The 18,550-nt window shown below is 45.6% G+C and overlaps 1 protein-coding gene, 2 long non-coding RNA genes and 1 pseudogene across 5 annotated transcripts in view, besides 3 other annotated features; 1 reads left to right on the plus strand and 3 right to left on the minus strand.

The window, feature by feature from the left end:
• Nucleotides 1-4,672, minus strand: part of LOC122539213 (KHDC1-KHDC1L) — an 86,616-nt gene extending 81,944 nt beyond the window's left edge. For both annotated transcript variants that reach the window (NR_173146.1, NR_173145.1), the window contains exon 1: nt 4,065-4,672. This is a non-coding gene — a long non-coding RNA (KHDC1-KHDC1L). The remainder of the gene's footprint in view (nt 1-4,064) is intronic.
• Nucleotides 1-4,891, minus strand: part of KHDC1 (KH domain containing 1) — a 69,065-nt gene extending 64,174 nt beyond the window's left edge. The window contains exons 1-2 of one of the 2 annotated variants that reach the window (NM_001395215.3): nt 4,819-4,891; nt 4,065-4,241 (exon numbers count right to left, since the gene is read on the minus strand). The gene's annotated coding sequence lies outside the window, so the exon portion shown is untranslated. Of the gene's footprint in view, nt 1-4,064; nt 4,673-4,818 lie in introns of those variants that run through there. The other variant, NM_001251874.4, reaches the window with a different exon arrangement.
• C6orf147 (chromosome 6 open reading frame 147) overlaps nt 1-4,891 on the minus strand; it is a 36,245-nt gene extending 31,354 nt beyond the window's left edge. The window contains exons 1-2 of the long non-coding RNA NR_027005.4: nt 4,819-4,891; nt 4,065-4,241 (exon numbers count right to left, since the gene is read on the minus strand). This is a non-coding gene — a long non-coding RNA (chromosome 6 open reading frame 147). The remainder of the gene's footprint in view (nt 1-4,064; nt 4,242-4,818) is intronic.
• Nucleotides 1,901-2,528: an enhancer, noted in NCBI's record as "H3K27ac-H3K4me1 hESC enhancer chr6:74017111-74017738 (GRCh37/hg19 assembly coordinates)". NCBI's record gives its function as "activates a minimal SCP1, AML or CMV promoter by ChIP-STARR-seq in primed H9 embryonic stem cells {active_cell/tissue: H9 hESC(primed)}" and the evidence as "EXISTENCE:reporter gene assay evidence [ECO:0000049][PMID:30033119]".
• Nucleotides 4,190-4,259: an enhancer, noted in NCBI's record as "active region_24741". NCBI's record gives its function as "activates an Ori minimal core promoter by ATAC-STARR-seq in GM12878 lymphoblastoid cells {active_cell/tissue: GM12878}" and the evidence as "EXISTENCE:reporter gene assay evidence [ECO:0000049][PMID:35858748]".
• Nucleotides 4,780-5,039: an enhancer, noted in NCBI's record as "active region_24742". NCBI's record gives its function as "activates an Ori minimal core promoter by ATAC-STARR-seq in GM12878 lymphoblastoid cells {active_cell/tissue: GM12878}" and the evidence as "EXISTENCE:reporter gene assay evidence [ECO:0000049][PMID:35858748]".
• Nucleotides 17,350-17,963, plus strand: SDCBP2P1 (syndecan binding protein 2 pseudogene 1; annotated as a pseudogene).

The following is an 18,550-nucleotide window of genomic DNA, read 5'->3' on the forward strand; positions in this document are numbered from 1 at the left end:
AGAACCAATCTCATGGGCTTCTTTGAATATTGAAGAAGAGCACACATCCAAAACAGAAAGGACCTGGCACTTGAGCAAGCCCTCAAAGGTTAACAAATAAATTTTTAAGATATTCTAGCTACTTTTAAAAGTTTTTAGCATTTAAGAGAATATAATATATTGGATTTTGATTTAATTATTATTATTTTTTGAGACATAGTCTCACTCTGTCACCCAGGCTGGAGTGCAGTGGCACGATCTTGGCTCACTGCAACCTCCACCTCCTGGGTTCAAGTGATTCTCCTGCCTCAGGTTCCCAAGTAGCTGGGATTACAGGAGCCCGCCACCACACCCCGCTAATTTTTGTATTTTTAGTAGAGACGGGGTTCACCATGTTGGCCAGGATGGTCTTGAACTCCTGACCTCAAGTGATCTGCCCACCTTGGCCTCCCAAAGTGATGGAATTACAGGTGTGAGCCACCACGCCTGGCCTCTGATTATTTTTAAATTGAGCAAATTATATTTTTAAGTCTGTAAGTTTTGGGTTATTAGTTATGAAAGCAGGTACATATGCATTTAGTGTTTTTATTGCGGAAATGTTAATTAGTAGTCATAAATTAAGTAATCAGGGATTAAACAAAATGAGTATTCTTTATCTTCAACCAGAATGAATCTTTCCATATAGCTCCCTGAATCCTCACCCTTCCTGCCTCCTGCTCCTACTTATACTCCTCCTTCTACCAGAAACTGCTCCCCTCCACCAGAGCTCTAAATCACAACCCCTCTGCTTTCACTGGGGCTTGGAGGCTGCTACCTCTAGACTCTCCCTCCCACTGCATCAACTCTGCCCTCCCTCACCCGACACCCCGAGTAATTAAGCTCCCTCTTCCCCCAGCCTCTCCGTTCCCAGCTATTTCCCCATCCCAACAAAAATTACCCAGGTTTTCCCATCCAGGAGCATCAGTTCTGCTTACTAAAAACGTCCACTAAACATATTCCACATGCATCCCCATTTAAATTTTTCAACTCACTCCAACCTGGTTTCTGAGAATCTCACTCCTGCAACTGAACTGCTTGTGCTAAAGCTAGCAGTGAGCCCTGTGGTTCACAAACCAAGGAGCTATTTCATGCCCTCATCTGACTGGACTGCTGGACAGAATTCCCCAGAATAGATAATACCCTCCTTCTAGCTTGGGGTGGGGGTTGGTGCCCCGGGGCAGTGGGGGTGGGAGTTGAAGACTATTTAGAAAATTTTCACTTAGCTGGGCGTGGTGGCTCATGCCTGCAATCCCAACACTTTGGGAGGCCGAGGCAGGCAGATCACGAGGTCAAGAGATCGAGACCATCCTGGCCAACACGGTGAAACCCCGTCTCTACTAAAAATACAAAAAAATTAGCCAGGTGTGGTGGCGCACGCCTGTAGTCCCAGCTACTCAGGAGACTGAGGCAGGAGAATCGCTTGAACCCAGGAGGCAGAGATGGCAGTGAGTTGAGATTGTGCCACTGCACTCCAGCCTGGGTGACAGACCAGGAAGAAAGAGAGAAAATAAAACTTTCACTTAAACCCCCAAACACTGTGAGAAGACACAACTACCTTTTGAAAATGTTTTTCCTTTTACCCTGGAAAGAACACTGATCAACACTAAACTAATGTAAATTATTTATTATATAACCATTAGAGCAGCCGGGCAAGGTGGCTCATGCCTGTAATCCCAGCACCCAGGAGGCTGAGGCGGGTGGATCACGAGGTTAGGAGTTCAAGACCAGCCTGGACAAGATGGTGAAACCCCGTCTCTATTAAAAATATAAAAATTAGCCAGGCGTGATGCCGGGCGCCTGTAATCCCAGCTACTCGGGAGGCTGGCAGAGAATTGCTTGAACCCGGGAGGCGGAGGTTGCAATGAGCCGAGATCAGGCCACTGCACTCCAGCCTGGCGACAGAGCGAGACCCTGTCTCACAATAAATAAATAAATTAATTAATTAATTAAATAAAATCATTAGAGCATTATTTAAAAGCTGGAGTTTGCAATTACTTAAACCATTACAGATTTAAGAACAATTGCCCACACACACATCCATTTCCCTGTCCTCATCTTTCATGGCACAAACAGAACTGGGGTCTTGGCCTCTTGATCCCCAGGCCAGCAGGCTTTCCGCAAGCAACGCCGTCCCTGCCTGAGATTCCCTCAGGCCCCAGCCTTAAACGGAGTGCCCAGAGGCCCATGAAGAACCGTGCAACCGCCTGGCTCGTGCTCTGGCTAAAAAGAGAGCAGCTGATCATATGCATGCCTTGTGGAGATGACCCTAGAGCTCTGATTTTTCAACAGCATGCATCCACATCACCTGGAGGTCTTCTTAAAACACGGGTCTCTGTGCCTCACCCCCAGAGTTTCTGATTCTGTGGATGTGGGGTAGGCGACAGAGTTTGTTGTTGTTGTTTGTTTGTTTTTGAGACAGAGTCTCGCTCTGTCGCCCAGGCTGGAGTGCAGTAATGGTGCAATCCCTGCTTACTGCAACCTCTGCCTCCCGGGCTCAAGCGATTCTCCTGCCTCAGCCTCCCGAGTAGCTGGGATTACAGGCACCGCACCACCAGGCCCAGCTAATTTTTTTTTTTTTTTTTTTTTTGAGACAGAGTCTGGCTCAGTTGCCCAGACTGGAGTGCAGTGACGCGATCACGGCTCACTGCAAGTTCCGCCTCCTGGGTTCACACTATTCTCCTGCCTCAGCCTCCCGAGTAGCTGGGACTACAGGTGCCTGCCACCACGCCCGGCTAATTTTTTGTATTTTTAGTAGAGACAGGGTTTCACCGTGTTAGCCAGGGTGGTCTTGATCCCCTGACCTCATGATCCGCCCTCCTCGGCCTCCCGAAGTGCTGGGATTACAGGCGTGAGCCACCACGCCCTGCTGCAATTTTTGTATTTTTAGTAGAGATGGGGTTTCACTATGTTGACCAGGCTGGTCTTGAGCTCCTGACCTCGGGTGATCCACCTGCCTCAGCCTCCCAAAGTGTTGGGATTACAGGAGTGAACCACCGCGTCCGGCTTTTTTTTTTTTCTTTTTGGACAGGGTCTCACTCCGATTGCCCAGGCTGGAGTGCAGTGTCACGATTTTGGCTCACTGCAGCCTCGACCTCCCCGGGCTCAGGTGATCCTCCCGAGTAGCTGGAACTTCAGATGGGTGCCACATAGCCCAGCTAATTTTTCATATTTTTTTGTAGAGACGGGGTTTCACCATATTGCCCAGGCTGTGACTTCTGGGCTCAAGCGATCCTCCCACCTCGGCCTCCCAAAGTACTGGGATTGCAGGTGTCAGCCACCGCACCCGGTAGAGTTTTTTGCTGTTGTTTTTTGTTGGTTTGTTTTTTGTTTTTTTGTTTTTTCTTGAGACGGAGTCTCGCTCTGTTGCCCAGCCTGGAGAGCAGTGGCGCCATCTCGGCTCACTCCAACCTCCTTCTCCCAGGATCAAGCGATTCTCCTGCCTCCGCCTCCCTAGTACCTGGGATTACAGGCACGCGCGCCAGGCTAATTTTTGTATTTTTAGTAGAGATGGGTTTCACCATGTTGGCCAGGCGGGTCTGAAACTCCTGACCTCAAGTGATGGGCCTTGGCCTCCCAAAGTGCAGGGATTACAGGCGTGAGCCAACGCGCCTGGCAGTTTGCATTTTTAAGGAGTTCTCAGGTGATGCTGATTCTGCTGATCGCGGGACTCCGCTTTGAGATCAGCTCTCCTAGGGTATCTAAGTGACGGGGCAGACCCGCAAAAGAGATTTAGTGGAAGATGGCCCCCTAGAGGAGCTGGCCTGGGATTCCTGGGACTTCTAAACCTACAGTGCACAAATGTCCTAGATTTTCCACCTTTGGTTGCTTCTAGCCACAATCTTCCTTCCCAACCACATCTTGCCCTTTCTACTCACAAACCAGGAGGCACACCCAGGGTTTTTTTTAACATGGTGATTTGCAGAACTGTCCTAGGCCTTCAGACTAAGGAGCTGGAGTGATCCTGAAAGATCCCGGAAGCGAAACTCGCCTTTCCGGGCACCTGGGTGAAGGAAGCTTTTCCTACCAGGGCCCCTAAAGCCACTCACCTCGATTTCTGCGGATCCAAAGGTGGAAAGACACTGTCCCGATCAGGAGCATCGCAAGGGTCTGGAGAAAGGGCCATCCATAAATGAAGATCAGGACTCCGTATTCTGAGACTGTTTCAATCACAAATAAGACTCGGAACAGCCTCTGGAAGGCCGACAGCATTTCGCGTTTCTGGCCTGGGAAAGTAAGGGTGCGCTAAGGCACGAGTAGTACAGCTCCTCCCGCCACCGCAGAGCCCGCCGGCGGGAAGAGACCAGACACCGACGGAGAAGCGAAGTTCAGGACGCGAAGGAAAGGGCCACTTCGGGTCGGGGTCAACCCAGACTGGACCAATGCACAGTCTAGGTGGATTAACGCGCCACCGCGAGAAGTGGGCACGGGACCACATGCGGCTGGCAAGACGTCCCAGGGCTCAAGCTCCAGGCTCGGTCACCAAACAACGGTGATAACATCCACAACGCCACGTAAACCATCTTTGGGCCTTGATCGTTTTCCAATAACCGACTGAACTGAGGGCGTGACCAAACGACAAGAACCGGAGGAGAGGACCCGGAGAACGGAGCAGCATCCCGCCGCCCGCCTCCAGGAAAGCCCGAGGCACTGTAGCAGGAGGGTCTGGGCTCCGCGCCTTAATTACACCGCCCTGGACCCGCCTCTTCCGCCGCTCGCTCCTCTGACCGGCACCCGAAGGTGCTGTCCCGCCCACGGACTCGCTCACACTCCGTTTCTTCGATCCTTTAGACGACTTTTTACCGTTCAGGGATGCTCTCCGTTACCGCCTCTGCCATTTGGTTGCCCTCCCTGCGGTCCAAGGGCCTGGAACACTCCCCAGGGCTGCCAGGCCAGCGCTTTCCAGGGGCTCCAGCCTACAGCGCCGCCACCTGGGGCTGGAGCCAGAAACGCAGGGGCCGGGGGCTCACCGGCTGCCAAGTAGAGGGCGTCGAAAATGGGGCTGGGTGTGTAAGAATGCTTGTGATTTTTGCACACTGATTTTGTATCCCGAGACTTTGCTGAAGTTGCTTATCAGCCTAAGGAGATTTCGGGCTGAGAAGATGAGGTTTTCTAAATATACAATCATGTCATCTGCAAACGGACAATTTGACTTCCTCTTTTCCTAATTGAATATTCTTTATTTCTTTCTCCTGCCTGATTGCCCTGGCCAGAACTTCCAACACTATGTTGAATAGCAGTGGTGAGAGAGGACATCCCTGTCTTGTGCCAGTTTTCTAAGGGAATGCTTCCAGTTTTTGCCTATTCAGTACGATATTGGCTGTGGGTTTGTCATAAACAGCTGTTATTATTTTTAGATACGTCCCATCAATACCTAATTTATTGAGTGTTTTTAGCATGAAGCGCTGTTGAATTTTGTCAAAGGCCTTTTCTGCATCTATTGAGATAATCATGTGGTTTTTTTTCTTTGGTTCTGTTTATATGATGGATTATGTTTATTGATTTGCATATGTTGAACCAGCCTTGCATCCCAGGGATGAAGCCCACTTGATCATGGTGGATAAGCTTTTTGATGTGCTGCTGGATTTGGTTTGCCAGTATTTTATTGAGGATTTTTGCATCGATGTTCATCAGGGATATTGGTCTAAAATTCTCTTTTTTTGTTGTGTCTCTGCCAGGCTTTGGTATCAGGATGATGCTGGCCTCATAAAATGAGTTAGGGAGGATTCCCTCTTTTTCTATTGATTGGAATAGTTTCAGAAGGACTAGTACCAGCTCTTCCTTGTACCTCTGGTAGAATTCGGCTGTGAATCCTTCTGGTCCTGGACTTTTTTGGTTGGTAGGCTATTAATTATTGGCTCAATTTCAGAGCCTGTTATTGGTCTATTCAGGGATTCAGTTTTTTCCTGGTTTAGTCTTGGGAGGGTGTATGTGTCCAGGAATTTATCCATTTCTTCTCGATTTTCTAGTTTATTTGCATAGAGGTGTTTATAATATTCTCTGATGGTAGTTTGTATTTCTGTGGGATCAGTGGTGATATCCCCTTTATCATTTTTTATTGCGTCTATTTGATTCTTCTCTCTTTTCTTCTTTATTAGTCTTGCTAGCTATCAATTTTGTTGATCTTTTCAAAAAAGCAGCTCCTGGATTCATTGATTTTTTGAAGGGTTTTTGTGTCTCTATCTCCTTCAGTTCTGCTCTGATCTTAGTTATTTATTGCCTTCTGCTAGCTTTTGAATGTGTTTGCTCTTGCTTCTCTAGTTTTTTTAATTGTGATGTTAGGGTGTCAATTTTAGATCTTTCCTGCTTTCTCTTGTGGGTATTTAGTGCTATAAATTTCCCTCTACACACTGCTTTAAATGTGTCCCAGAGATTCTGGTATGTTGTGTCTTTGTTCTCATTGGTTTCAAATAACATCTTTATTTCTGCCTTCATTTCATTATGTACCCAGTAGTCATTCAGGGGCAGGTTGTTCAGTTTCCATGTAGTTGAGCAGTTATGAGTGAGTTTCTTAATCCTGAGTTCCAGTTTGATTGCACTGTGGTCTGAGAGACAGTTTGTTATAATTTCTGTTCTTTTACATTTGCTGAGGAGTGCTTTACTTCCAACTATGTGGTCAATTTTGGAATAAGTGCGGTGTGGTGCTGAGAAGAATGTATATTATGTTGATTTGGGGTGGAGAGTTCTGTAGACGTCTGTTAGGTCTGCTTGGTGCAGAGCTGAGTTCAATTCCTGGATATCTTTTTTAACTTTCTGTCTCATTGATCTGTCTAATGTTGACAGTGGGGTGTTAAATTCTCCCATTATTATTGTGTGGGAGTCTAAGTCTCTTTGTAGGTCTCTAAGGACTTGCTTTATGAATCTGGGTACTCCTGTATTGGGTGCATATATATTTAGGATAGTTAGCTCTTCTTGTTGAATTGATCCCTTTACCATTATGTAGTGGCCTTCTTTGTCTCTTTTGATCTTTGTTGGTTTAAAGTCTGTTTTATCAGAGACTAGAAATGCAACCCCTGCCTTTTTTTGTTTTCCATTTGCTTGGTAGATCTTCCTCCATCCCTTTATTTTGAGCCTATGTGTGTCTCTGCCCCTGAGATGGGTCTCCTGAATACAGCACACTGATAGGTCTTGACTCTTTATCGTATTTGCCAGTCTGTGTCTTTTAATTGGAGTATGTAGCCCATTTACATTTAAGGTTAATATTATTATGTGTGAATTTGATCCTGTCATTATGATGTTAGCTGGTGATTTTGCTCGTTAGTTGATGCAGTTTCTTCCTAGACAAACAGCCAAATCATGAGTGAACTCCCATACACAATTGCTTCAAAGAGAATAAAATACCTAGGAATCCAACTTACAAGGGATGTGAAGGACCTCTTCAAGGAGAACTACAAACCACTGCTCAACAAAATAAAAGAGGACACAAACAAATGGAAGAACATTCCATGCTCATGGATAGGAAGAATCAATATCGTGAAAATGGCCATACTGCCCAAGGTAATTTATAGATTCAATGCCATCCCCATTAACCTACCAATGACTTTCTTCACAGAATTGGAAAAAACTACTTTAAAGTTCATATGGAACCAAAAAAGAGCCCACATTGCCAAGTTAATCCTAAGCCAAAAGAACAAAGCTGGAGGCATCATGCTACCTGACTTCAAACTATACTACAAGGCTACAGTAACCAAAACAGCATGATACTGGTACCAAAACAGAGATATAGACCAATGGAACAGAATAGAGCCCTCGGAAATAATACCACACATTTACAACCATCTGATCTTTGACAAACCTGACAAAAACAAGAAATGGGGAAGGGATTCCCTATTTAATAAATGGTGCTGGGAAAACTTGCTAGCCATATGTAGAAAGCTGAAACTGGATCCCTTCCTTACACCTGATACAAAAATTAATTCAAGATGGATTAAATACTTAAATCTTAGACCTAAAACCATAAAAACTCTAGAAGAAAACCTAGGCAATACCATTCAGGACATAGGCACGGGCAAGGACTTCATGTTTAAAACACCAAAAGCCACGGCAACAAAAGCCAAAATTGACAAATGGGATCTGATTAAACTAAAGAGCTTCTGCACAGCAAAAGAAACTACCATCAGAGTGAACAGGCAGCCTACAGAATGGGAGAACATTTTTGCAATCTACTCATCTGACAAAGGGTTAATATCCAGAATCTACAAAGAACTCAAACAAACTTACAAGAAAAAAACAAACAACCCCATCAACAAATGGGCAAAGGATACGAACAGACACTTCTCAAAAGAAGACATTTATGCAGCCAACAGACATATGGATAAATGCTCATCATCACTGGCCATCAGAGAAATGCAAATCAAAGCCACAATGAGATACCATCTCACACCAGTTAAAATGGTGATCATTAAAAAGTCAGGAAATAACAGGTGCTGGAGAGGATGTGGAGAAATAGAAACACTTTTACACTGTTGGTGGGACTGTAAACTAGTTCAACCATTGTGGAAGACAGTGTGGCGATTCCTCAAGGATCTAGAACTAGAAATACTACTTGACCCAGCCATCCCATTACTGGGTATATACCCAAAGGATTATAAATCATGCTGCTATAAAGACACATGCACACGTATGTTTATTGTGGCACTATTCACAATAGCAAAGACTTGGAACCAACCCAAATGTCCATCAATGATAGACTGGATTAAGAAAATGTGGCACATATACACCATGGAATACTATGCAGCCATAAAAAATGATGAGTTCATGTCCTTTGTAGGGACATGGATGAAGCTGGAAACCATCATTCTCAGCAAACTATCGCAAGGACAAAAAAACCAAACACCACATGTTCTCGCTCAGGTGGGAATTGAACAATGAGAACACTTGGACATAGGAAGGGGAACATCACTCACCAGGGCCTGTCTGTGGGGTGGGGGGACGGGGGAGGGATAGCATTAGGAGATATACCTAATGTAAATGACGAGTTAATGGTTCCAGCACACCAACGTGGCACATGTATACATATGTAACAAACCTGCACGTTGTGCACATGTACCCTAGAACTTAAAGTATAATAAAAAAAATAAAAATAAATTTAAAAAAGAAAATGGGGCTGGGGTGTGGGCGGCAGAAAAATGGAACCCATGCATCCTCTGAGGAAGCCAGGATCCATCCTCAAAGCCCCGGAGCTCCCAGGCCGCCTCACTCTGCCTCCGGTCCGCGCTCCCCCGCCCTTCTCGGGAACCTGCGAGCAGGCACTGGGCCCGGCGGCGGGACTCAGACCCATGTGGGCGACGCGCCTTCGCGGGCTGTCGGCTTAGCTCGTGACCCCCTAGGAGAAAACTGAGGCTCCCGGGACCAGAACAGATGAGTTTGGAGAGGAGGGAACTTGAACTTGGGTCCAATGCTCGATGGCTCCAAGGTCCGCGCCGTCCCTACCATAGCAGATTCACCGTTCGAGCGTTCCATTTTACACACACGAATCCGCGCGGGGCAGGAGGAACAGAGCGCAGATACGCGGCGGCAGCGGCTTCGCTGGGCACTGGAAGGCCGGTGGGCTCCTCCCGGGCCACCCTCTCCCCGCCCAGCACACTCAGGCGCCCGCCTCTGCTCTGCGCCTCGGCTGCTCCAGGTGCTGGTGCCAATGTATAGCCTAGGCCTCTCTCGCTTCTCCGACCCCTGGTGTTGGGTGTCCCCTGGCGATCGCGGGAACCCTCAGAGCAGCGGAATGGGATCTGTGCGGGACGGAGCGCGAGCCCCAATCCCTGTGGCTTTAAAACTCCCCGGCGCTTAGGTTATTCGATGCCCACCAGCCTTACCGATTTAGGTAAAGGAGTAAATAAATTGGCACCTGTAAGACAAGAGTCTCAACTACAGATAGTGGCAGGACACTGCAGCTCCTGACTTACAGCCCTGAATTTGGATGGCTCCTTCACAATTCGCCAGAGCTGCTAGGAGGAGCGGGGACGTGGGAACAGATAGGGAGGTAGTATGTGGAAGAGTAAGTGCCAGGAGGACCTTGGTTAGAGCCCTGACTTGGCCATTTACAAGTTGTGTGATCTTGGACAATTTACTTTTGTGAGCCTGGGTGTTCCAACTTGAAAAGGAATATAATTATTTTTTCCTTGCAACAATGGAGGTGGGGAGGTAGTATTTGAGTGTACTAGGCATAAACTAGTATGGGCATTTTGCATGTTAGGGTTTCACTGGAAATGCCTCCTTTCTGACTGCCCCCTATACACGCACACACACACAATCTATTCTGTTCCCTCAATGGTGAGTAAGGAAGGATAGAGGAAGCCTCTTTCCTCTTAGTGTACCTTCCTTGTCACCTTGCATTTACAATAGCTACTTCTAGGCACTGAACCATATTTTTAAAGACTCTTCTCCTCTCACTGTTGCTTGATGTTACATGGATTAATAGGTATAGGATCCAAGGTTCAGGGCAGTCAGAGAGTTTTATAGACATATTTTTTTTCAGTTATTTCAAGGTCAGACACTAACCCTAAGGCAACATAAGGCATACTAATTAGAGCAAGGAATTTACCCCGAGATCCATGCTAGCTTCATGAACTCTATGCTTGTTCGTTAAATATGCATATATAGCTTTCAGCATACTATCTAAGGCAGTGCTGTTCAATAGACGTTCCTGCAGTGATGGAGATATATATAAAATTGTGTTGTTCAATATGGTAGCCACTAGCCACATGTGGCTGTTGAGCTCCTGAAATGTGGCTGGTGCTATGAGAAATTGAATTTTTAATTTTATTTAATTTTAAGTAAGTTAAATTTAAATTGCCAAATATGACTAGTAACTAATGTATTGGACAGTGTAACTCCAAAGAATTCATTACCTTCCTTATCTCCCCAAAAATAGTAAGCACAGATTTAAAACTTAGCAAATTTTGTCATAAACCTTGAATAGACAACCAAAAGCCAAATAAAATATTAAATTGAAACTGGAATCCTTTCAATATTACTCCCTACTGAATGAATTGTGGACCCAGCTTTGCAAAAGAATAACAAGAAGAAAAGCTAAGATGAGGGGAGATGGTGTTCGAAATGATGATTGGGTCTGGGCACAGTGGCTCACACCTGTAATCCCAGCACTTTGGGAAGCAAAGGTGGAGGCGGGCAGATGGTTTGAGCCCAGGAGTTCGAGACCAACCTGGGCAACATGACGAAACCCCGTCTCTACAAAAAAAATTTAAAATTTTTTTTAAAAATTAGTTGAGCATGGTGGCATATGATTTTGGTCCCAACTATGAGGGAGGCTGAGACAGGAGGATCGCTTGAGCCAGGGAGCTCAAGGCTTCAGTGAGCTGAGATCATGCCACTGAACTCCAGCCTGGGTGACAGAGTGAGGCCCTATCCCCCCCAAAAAAAAAAAAAAAAAAAAAATGAGGACTGGGGAGGTACTTGCTAGCTTTTTCTTTTGTTATGCATGTTACAAAGGTCCACAAAATGGCTTACAATTACAAAGGTCTCTTTTTCTTTTATATTACTCATCTGTAAGCTGTCTTTACTCTTGTACCCAGTGAATGTAGCAGCCCCATCTAGGACATGCCAGTCTTATGGCAGAGGAGAAGACATACACTTCTGTGATATGAAGCTTGGTTATGTAACAAATGGAGAGAGAAGTATATATACTTCTTCCTCAAAGAGGGGGAACGAAAGAAGAATTAAAGAAAACAGCCTGCATGTCCATCATAGAAAATGAGTTAAATAGAGCCATACAATATACTAGAGAGCAACTAAAAAATGAACTAAAACTGTGATACATCCATATGATATAATATTACTCAGCAATGAAAAGAATTAAGCTATCAAGCCAAAGAAAGGCATGGAGGAACCTATATTGCTAAGTGGAAAAAGCCAGTCTGTAAAGGTAACATACTGTATGATTCCAACAATATAACATTCTGGAAAAGGCAAAAATATTAGGTTGATGCAAAAGTACTTTATACAACCTAATATAAGTGATAGTAAAAACATCAGTGGTTGCTAGTGGCTTGGGGAAAAGGGGAAGGATGAATAGGTGAAGTGCAAGATTTTTTAGGGCAGTGAAATTATTCTGTATCATATTATTAATGGTGGCTACATGACATTATGCATTTATCAAACTATAGAACTTTATAACACAAAAAGTGGACCTCAATGTATGCAAATTAAAAAGAAATCATTTAGGAGGTTGGGAGAACCCAGACAAGAATTCAGACTCTGGCCAGGCACAGTGGCTCACGCCTGTAATCCCAGCACTTTGGGAGGCTAAGGCAGGCAGATCCTGAGGTCAGGAAATCGAGACCATCCTGGCTAACACAGCGAAACCCTGTCTCTACTAAAAATCCAAAAAATTATCTGGGCATGGTAGCAGTCGCCTGTATTCCCAGCTACTCAGGAGGCTGAAGCAGGAGAATTGCTTGAACCCGGGAGGCAGAGGTTGCAGTGAGCCGAGATCGCATCACTGCACTCCAGCCTTAGTGACAGAGCAAGACTCTGTCTCAAAAAAAAAAAAAGAGAATTCAGACTCTGACAGGGTACTCTATATTATAGTTACGTTAAACAACACCCTTAAAGGGGCAGGGTGAAAGTGCTGACATAAGTAACTTTGGAAGTGAATGGAGTTGGTAAGACTATAAGCAAAAAAAAAAAAAAAAAAAAAAAAAAAAAAAAAAAAAAAAACCTGCACGTAAGAACTGTACTCTAGTTGATAAAGTTAAATCCTGATATAGTAGTCCCTCATCATCTGCAGTTTCTCTTTCACAGTTTCAGTTACTGACAGTCAACAAGAAGATAGGTATGTACAATACAATAAGATATTTTGAGTGAGAGAGACCATATTCATGTAACTTTTATTATAGTATATGTATTAGTCCATTTTCATGCTGCAGATAAAGACATACCTGAGACTGGGAAGAAAAAAGTTTAATGGACTTACAGTTCCACATGGCTGAGGACACCTCACAATTACAGCAGAAGGCAAAAAGCAGCAAGTCACAACTTACATGGATAGTGGCAGACAAAAAGAGCTTGTGCAGGGAAACTCCTGTGTTTAAAACCATCAGATCTCATGAAACCAATTCACTATCACGAGAACAGCATGGGAAAGACCCCGCCCAAACCATAATTCAATCATCTCCCACTGGGTGCCTCCCACCACACGTAGGAATTATGGGAGCTACAAGATGAGATTTGGGTGGGGACACAGAGCCAAACCATATTAGTATATTTTATAATTGTTCTATTTCATTATTGTTAATCTTTTACTGTGCCTAATTTATAAATGAATCTTACATAGGCTGGGCACAGTGGCTCTTGCCTGTAATCCTAGGACTTTGGGAGGCTGAGGTGGGCAGATTGCCTGAGCTCAGGAGTTCAAGACTAGACTGGGCAACACAGTGAAACACTGTCTCTACTAAAATACAAAAATTGGCCAGGCGTGGTATCACAAGCCTGTAGTCCCAGCTACTCAGGAGGCTGAAGCAGGAGAATTGCTTGAATCTGAGAGGCAGAGGTTGCATTGAGCCGAGATCACACCACTGCACTCCAGCCTGGGTGACAGAGCAAGACTCCATCTCCAAAAAAAAGGAAAGGAGAGGAGAGGAGAGGAAGAAACTTTACCATAGGTATGTATGTATGTTTGTATAGAAAAAACAGTATATATAGAATTGGATACTATCCATGGTTTCAGGCATTTGGGGATATTGGAATGTATCCCTCACAGGTAAGGGGGGAATAATGTACTGCTATACAAAAATACTGCAATTGAATAATTAAGTAAATGGTTGGTGGATGGTGGGAGCCAGGTTTCTCACTGTTGGATTGGGAATTTACAGATAAGCAATGATCTATGATCTATACCACATAGAATGATATATGTGGTCATGGATTAGAGTTGGAGATATCAGTAAGAAATCATTTTTAATTTAATAACACAGTGAAACACTGTCTCTGCTAAAATACAAAAAAATTAGCCAGGTGTGGTGTCACAAGCCTGTAGTCCCAGCTACTCAGGAGGCTGAGGCAGGAGAGTTGCTTGAATCCAGGAGGCAGAGGTTGCACTGAGCCAAGATCACGCCATTGCACTCCAGCCTGGGTGACAGAGTGAGACTCCATCTCAAAAAAAAAAAAAAGAAAAAGAAAAAAAATATTTCTATATACACAGGTTAGTAAACACACGTATATTTCTTTTTTTTCTTTGAGATGGAGTCTCACCCTTGTCACCCAGGCTGGAGTGCAGTGGCACGATCTCAGCTCACTGCAACCTCCGTCTCCCAGGTTCACGCTATTCTCTTGCCTCAGCCTCCCAAGTAGCTGGGATTACAGGCGTCCGCCATCACACCTGGCTAATTTTTGTATTTTTAGTAGAGACAGGGTTTCACAATGTTGGCCACATATATTTCTTTGCTCTGTCAGAGGTGGCCTAAAAGAACCAACACCCTGGTAGCAACAAGCACACCTAATACTCAGATTTTGGTTTCTAATACCATTTTCCATTAAAGGAACTCCTTGGAGAAATGGCTTGAGGACTGGGCAAGAAATATACAAAATAAGCCTGGAGCACATTATAGTACCAGAAAATAAAGTGCTCAAAAAAAAAGTGATGGAGTGGCTGGGTATGGTGGCTCATGCCTGTAATCCCAGCACTTTGGGCAGCCAAGGCGGGTGGGTCACTTGAGGCCAGGAGTTCAAGACCAGCCTGGCCAGCATGATGAAACCCCATCTCTACTAAAAATACAAAAATTAGCCAGGCATGGTGGTCCACACCTGTAACTCTAGCTACTCTGGAGGCCGAGGCAAGAGAATCACTTGGACCCGGAGGCGGAGGCTGCAGTGAGCCAAGATTGTGCCATTGCACTCCAGCCTGGGCAACAGAGCAATACTCTGTCTCAAAAAAACAAAAGAGTGATGGGGGTATGTCAAAGGAACAAAAGAAGCAACGGAAAAAGCTCTCAATAGCCAAAGCTGGAATAAGTTTTTGTTTTGTTTTTTTTTTTGAGACAGAGTCTCATTCTGTCACCCAGGCTGGAGTGCAGTGGTGTGATCTCGGCTCACTGCAACCTCCACCTCCCACGTTCAAGCGATTCTCCTGCCTCAGCCTCCTGAGTAGCTGGGACTACAGGCGCCCACCACCATGCCTGGCTAATTTTTGTATTTTTAGTAGAGACAGGTTTCACCATGTTGGCCAGGCTGGTCTCGAACTCCTGACCTTGGGATCCTCCCGCCTCAGCCTCCCAAAGTGCTGGGATTACAGGCGTGAGCCACCGTGCCCAGCCTGGAATAATTTAAAAAATAAAGTATTGGATTATACCAAAAATGTAAAATGAATATCAACGATCTGAGAATGAAAGTGCATTTTTAAAAAAGAATATCCACGAGTTCATATCAGTATAAATAAATCCACAAATTAATATATGAAGAAAAGATGAATCTCCTGTGCAGAAAAATCTTAAGTAAATAAGTAGATACTTCATCCTAAGAGAGGAAGAGCATAACTCCTCACTCCTTAAGTGTAGGCAGTGCCTGTTGATTTTCTTCAAAAGAATACAGAATGGAGAAGGGGTGGGGAAGAGTAACTTTACAGTGGAGAATCCTGACAAACGCTACCTTAGCCAGGTGATCAATGTGAACAGTCATACAACATGCTGATAGTGTGCACCCTTGATATGATGTGATGAAAATGGTACTTTAGGCCAGGCGCAGTGACTCACGCCTGTAATCTTAGCACTTTGCGAAACTGAGACGGGCAGATTGCTTGAGGCCAGGAGTTTGAGACCATCCTGGCCAACATGGTAAAACCACATCTCTACCAAAAATACAAGAATTAGCCCAGTTGGCCGGGCGCAGTGCCTCACGCCTGTAATCCCAGCCCTTTGGGAGGCCGAGGCGGGCGGATCACGAGGTCAGGAGATCGAGACAATCCTGGCTAACACGATGAAATCCCGTCTCTACTAAAAATACAAAAAAAATTAGACGGGCATGGTTGCTGGCGCCTGTAGTCCCAGCTACTCAGGAGGCTGAGGCAGGAGAATGGCGTGAACCAGGGAGGCGGAGCTTGCAGTGAGCCGAGATCCCGCCACTGCACTCCAGCCTGGGCGACAGAGCGAGACTCCGTCTCAAAAAGAAAAAAAAAATTAGCCCAGCATGGTGGTGCACAACTGTAGTCCCAGCTACTCAGGATGCTAAGGCACAAGAATCGCTTGAACCCAGGAGGTGAAGCTTGCAGTGAGCAAGATCATGCCACTGCACTCCAGCCTGGGTGACACAGCAAGACTCTCAAAAAAAGAAAAACAGTACTTTATCTCTGTGATCTTCCTCTCCAAAAATCTAAAATCTGAGTCTAATCATAAGAAAAAAATCAGGCCGTATGTGGTGGCTCACATCTGTAATCCCAGCACTTTGGGAGGCCGAGGCAGGTGGATCACCTGAGGTCGGGAGTTCAAGACCAGCCTGACCAACATGGAGAAACCCCGTCTCTACTAAAAATACAAAAATTAGCCGGGCGTGGTGGCACCTGCCTGTAATCCCAGCTACTCGGGAGGCTGAGGCAGGAGAATCTCTTGAACCCAGAAGCCAGAGGTTGCAGTGAGCCGAGATCGCACCATTGCTCTCCAGCCTGGGCAACAAGAGCAAAACTCCATCTCAAAAAAAAAAAAAAAAAAAAGAAAGAAAGAAAAAAAGAAAATCTGAGTAAGTATGAACTTTATCACTATTGATTCTTAATTGTAAGAAATGTATTTGTTAACTATGTATATGATACACTTAATAATATGGGATGTTATTAGGCCAGGCGTGGTGGCTCCTGCCTGTAATCCCAGCACTTTGGGAGGCCAAGGCGGGCAGATCATGAGGTCAGGAGTTCAAGACCAGCCTGGCCAACATAGTGAAACCCCGTCTCTACTAAAAATACAAAAATTAGCCAGGTGTGGTGGCATGCGCCTGTAGAACCAGCTACTCAGGAGGCTGAGGTGGGAGAATCACTTGAACCCGGGAGACGAAGGTTGTAGTGAGTGGAGATCACACCATTGCACTCCAGCCTGGGTGACAAAAAAAAATAAATAAATAATATGGGATGTCATTAACAGGGGAAACTGGGATTATGTAGTATGGAATGGTACTATCTGCTCAATTTTTTTTTTAATTTAAAACTTTTCAGTGAAGTGTGTGGTCTGAGAATGAAATTGGGCCCAGGAACCGCTCTGTCCTCCTTTCCCCACCCTTACCCCTGCTTCCCAGTAACCTCTGAAGCACTAGGTCCCATAGGCCAGGCTGACCCCCTGCACCCCTGGTGTCTGCAAACTGCTGTCTCAGTTTCCTAGCCAGCCCAGGGGGTGGAGGAACAGCCTGGGCATGTGGTATGAGATCAAGGCCCAGGTACACAACATCCACCTGTGCAAAGACAAACATGGCAAGACTGGGCTGCAGCTGCAGACCACCAACAAGGGGCTCTTTGTGCAGGTGAGGTGGTCCAGGCCAACACCACTGCATCCCTCATGCTGCTGTGCTTTGGGGACCAAATCCTACAGATTGATGGGCATGACTGTGCCAAGTGGAACATGGAAAAAGCCCATCTGGCAGATGTGAGAGGGAATTGGCCAAGAAGATTGTTATGGTCATTCAGGACAGGATAGTCCAGTGGATTGTCACCATGCACAAGGACAGCACAAGCCATGGTGGCTTCATCATCAAGAAGGGAAAGGTCTTCCCTGTGGTCAAAGGGAGCTCTGTGGTCCTCAAGGACTCTTCACCAACCACCATGTGTGCCAGGTTCAAGAACGTTTAACAAGCACTGTGCAGAGTGTCATTGGGCTGAAAGAGATCTCAGAGATTCTGGCCACAGCCAGGAACATTGTCACCCTGATCATCATCCCCACTGTGATCTATGAGCACATAGTCAAAAAGTTTTCCCTGACCCATCGCCACCACATATGGACCACTTCATCCCAGATGCCTGAAGCCACAGGAGGGCAGCTTAGGCCCTCCCACCCTCCTGCAGGAAAGGCCAGCCACTCTTGAATGACAGGTTGCAGCCTGCCTGCTGCCCCAGGACAAGGCTTTGTTGAGGGGATGTATTCCAGATGGGTGGACATCAGATGGTGTGAGTCTGTCATTTGTACACACAGGCCTCCTTAAAGCCTCATACTCCTAGCTGGGCTGAGGCTTGGGCAGGGCCCACAGGCAACCGATCATAGCTCACTGCAGCCTTGCATTTCAGGGCTCAAGCAATCCTCCCACCTCAGCCTCCCGAGTAGCTGGGATTATAGGCGCATGCTATCACACTGTGCTTTTTTTTTTTTTTTTTTTTTTTTTTTTTTTAGTTTATGTAGAAATAGGGTCCCACTAAGTTTCCCAGGCTGGTCTCAAACTCCTGGACTCAAGCAATCCTCCCACCTCAGCCTCCCACAGTGCTGGGATTACAGGCATGAGCCACCATGCTCACACTTGACCTTCTGTGCTGGCTTAACTGCTGGGCATGGAAGCAGGCTGGCTAAACACTTAAACGTGCAATTGAATCCCAAGAAAACAGTTACATATTTTAAAA

Source organism: Homo sapiens, chromosome 6 (assembly GCF_000001405.40).
Source record: "Homo sapiens chromosome 6, GRCh38.p14 Primary Assembly".
Classification (NCBI taxonomy): Eukaryota; Metazoa; Chordata; class Mammalia; order Primates; family Hominidae; genus Homo; species Homo sapiens.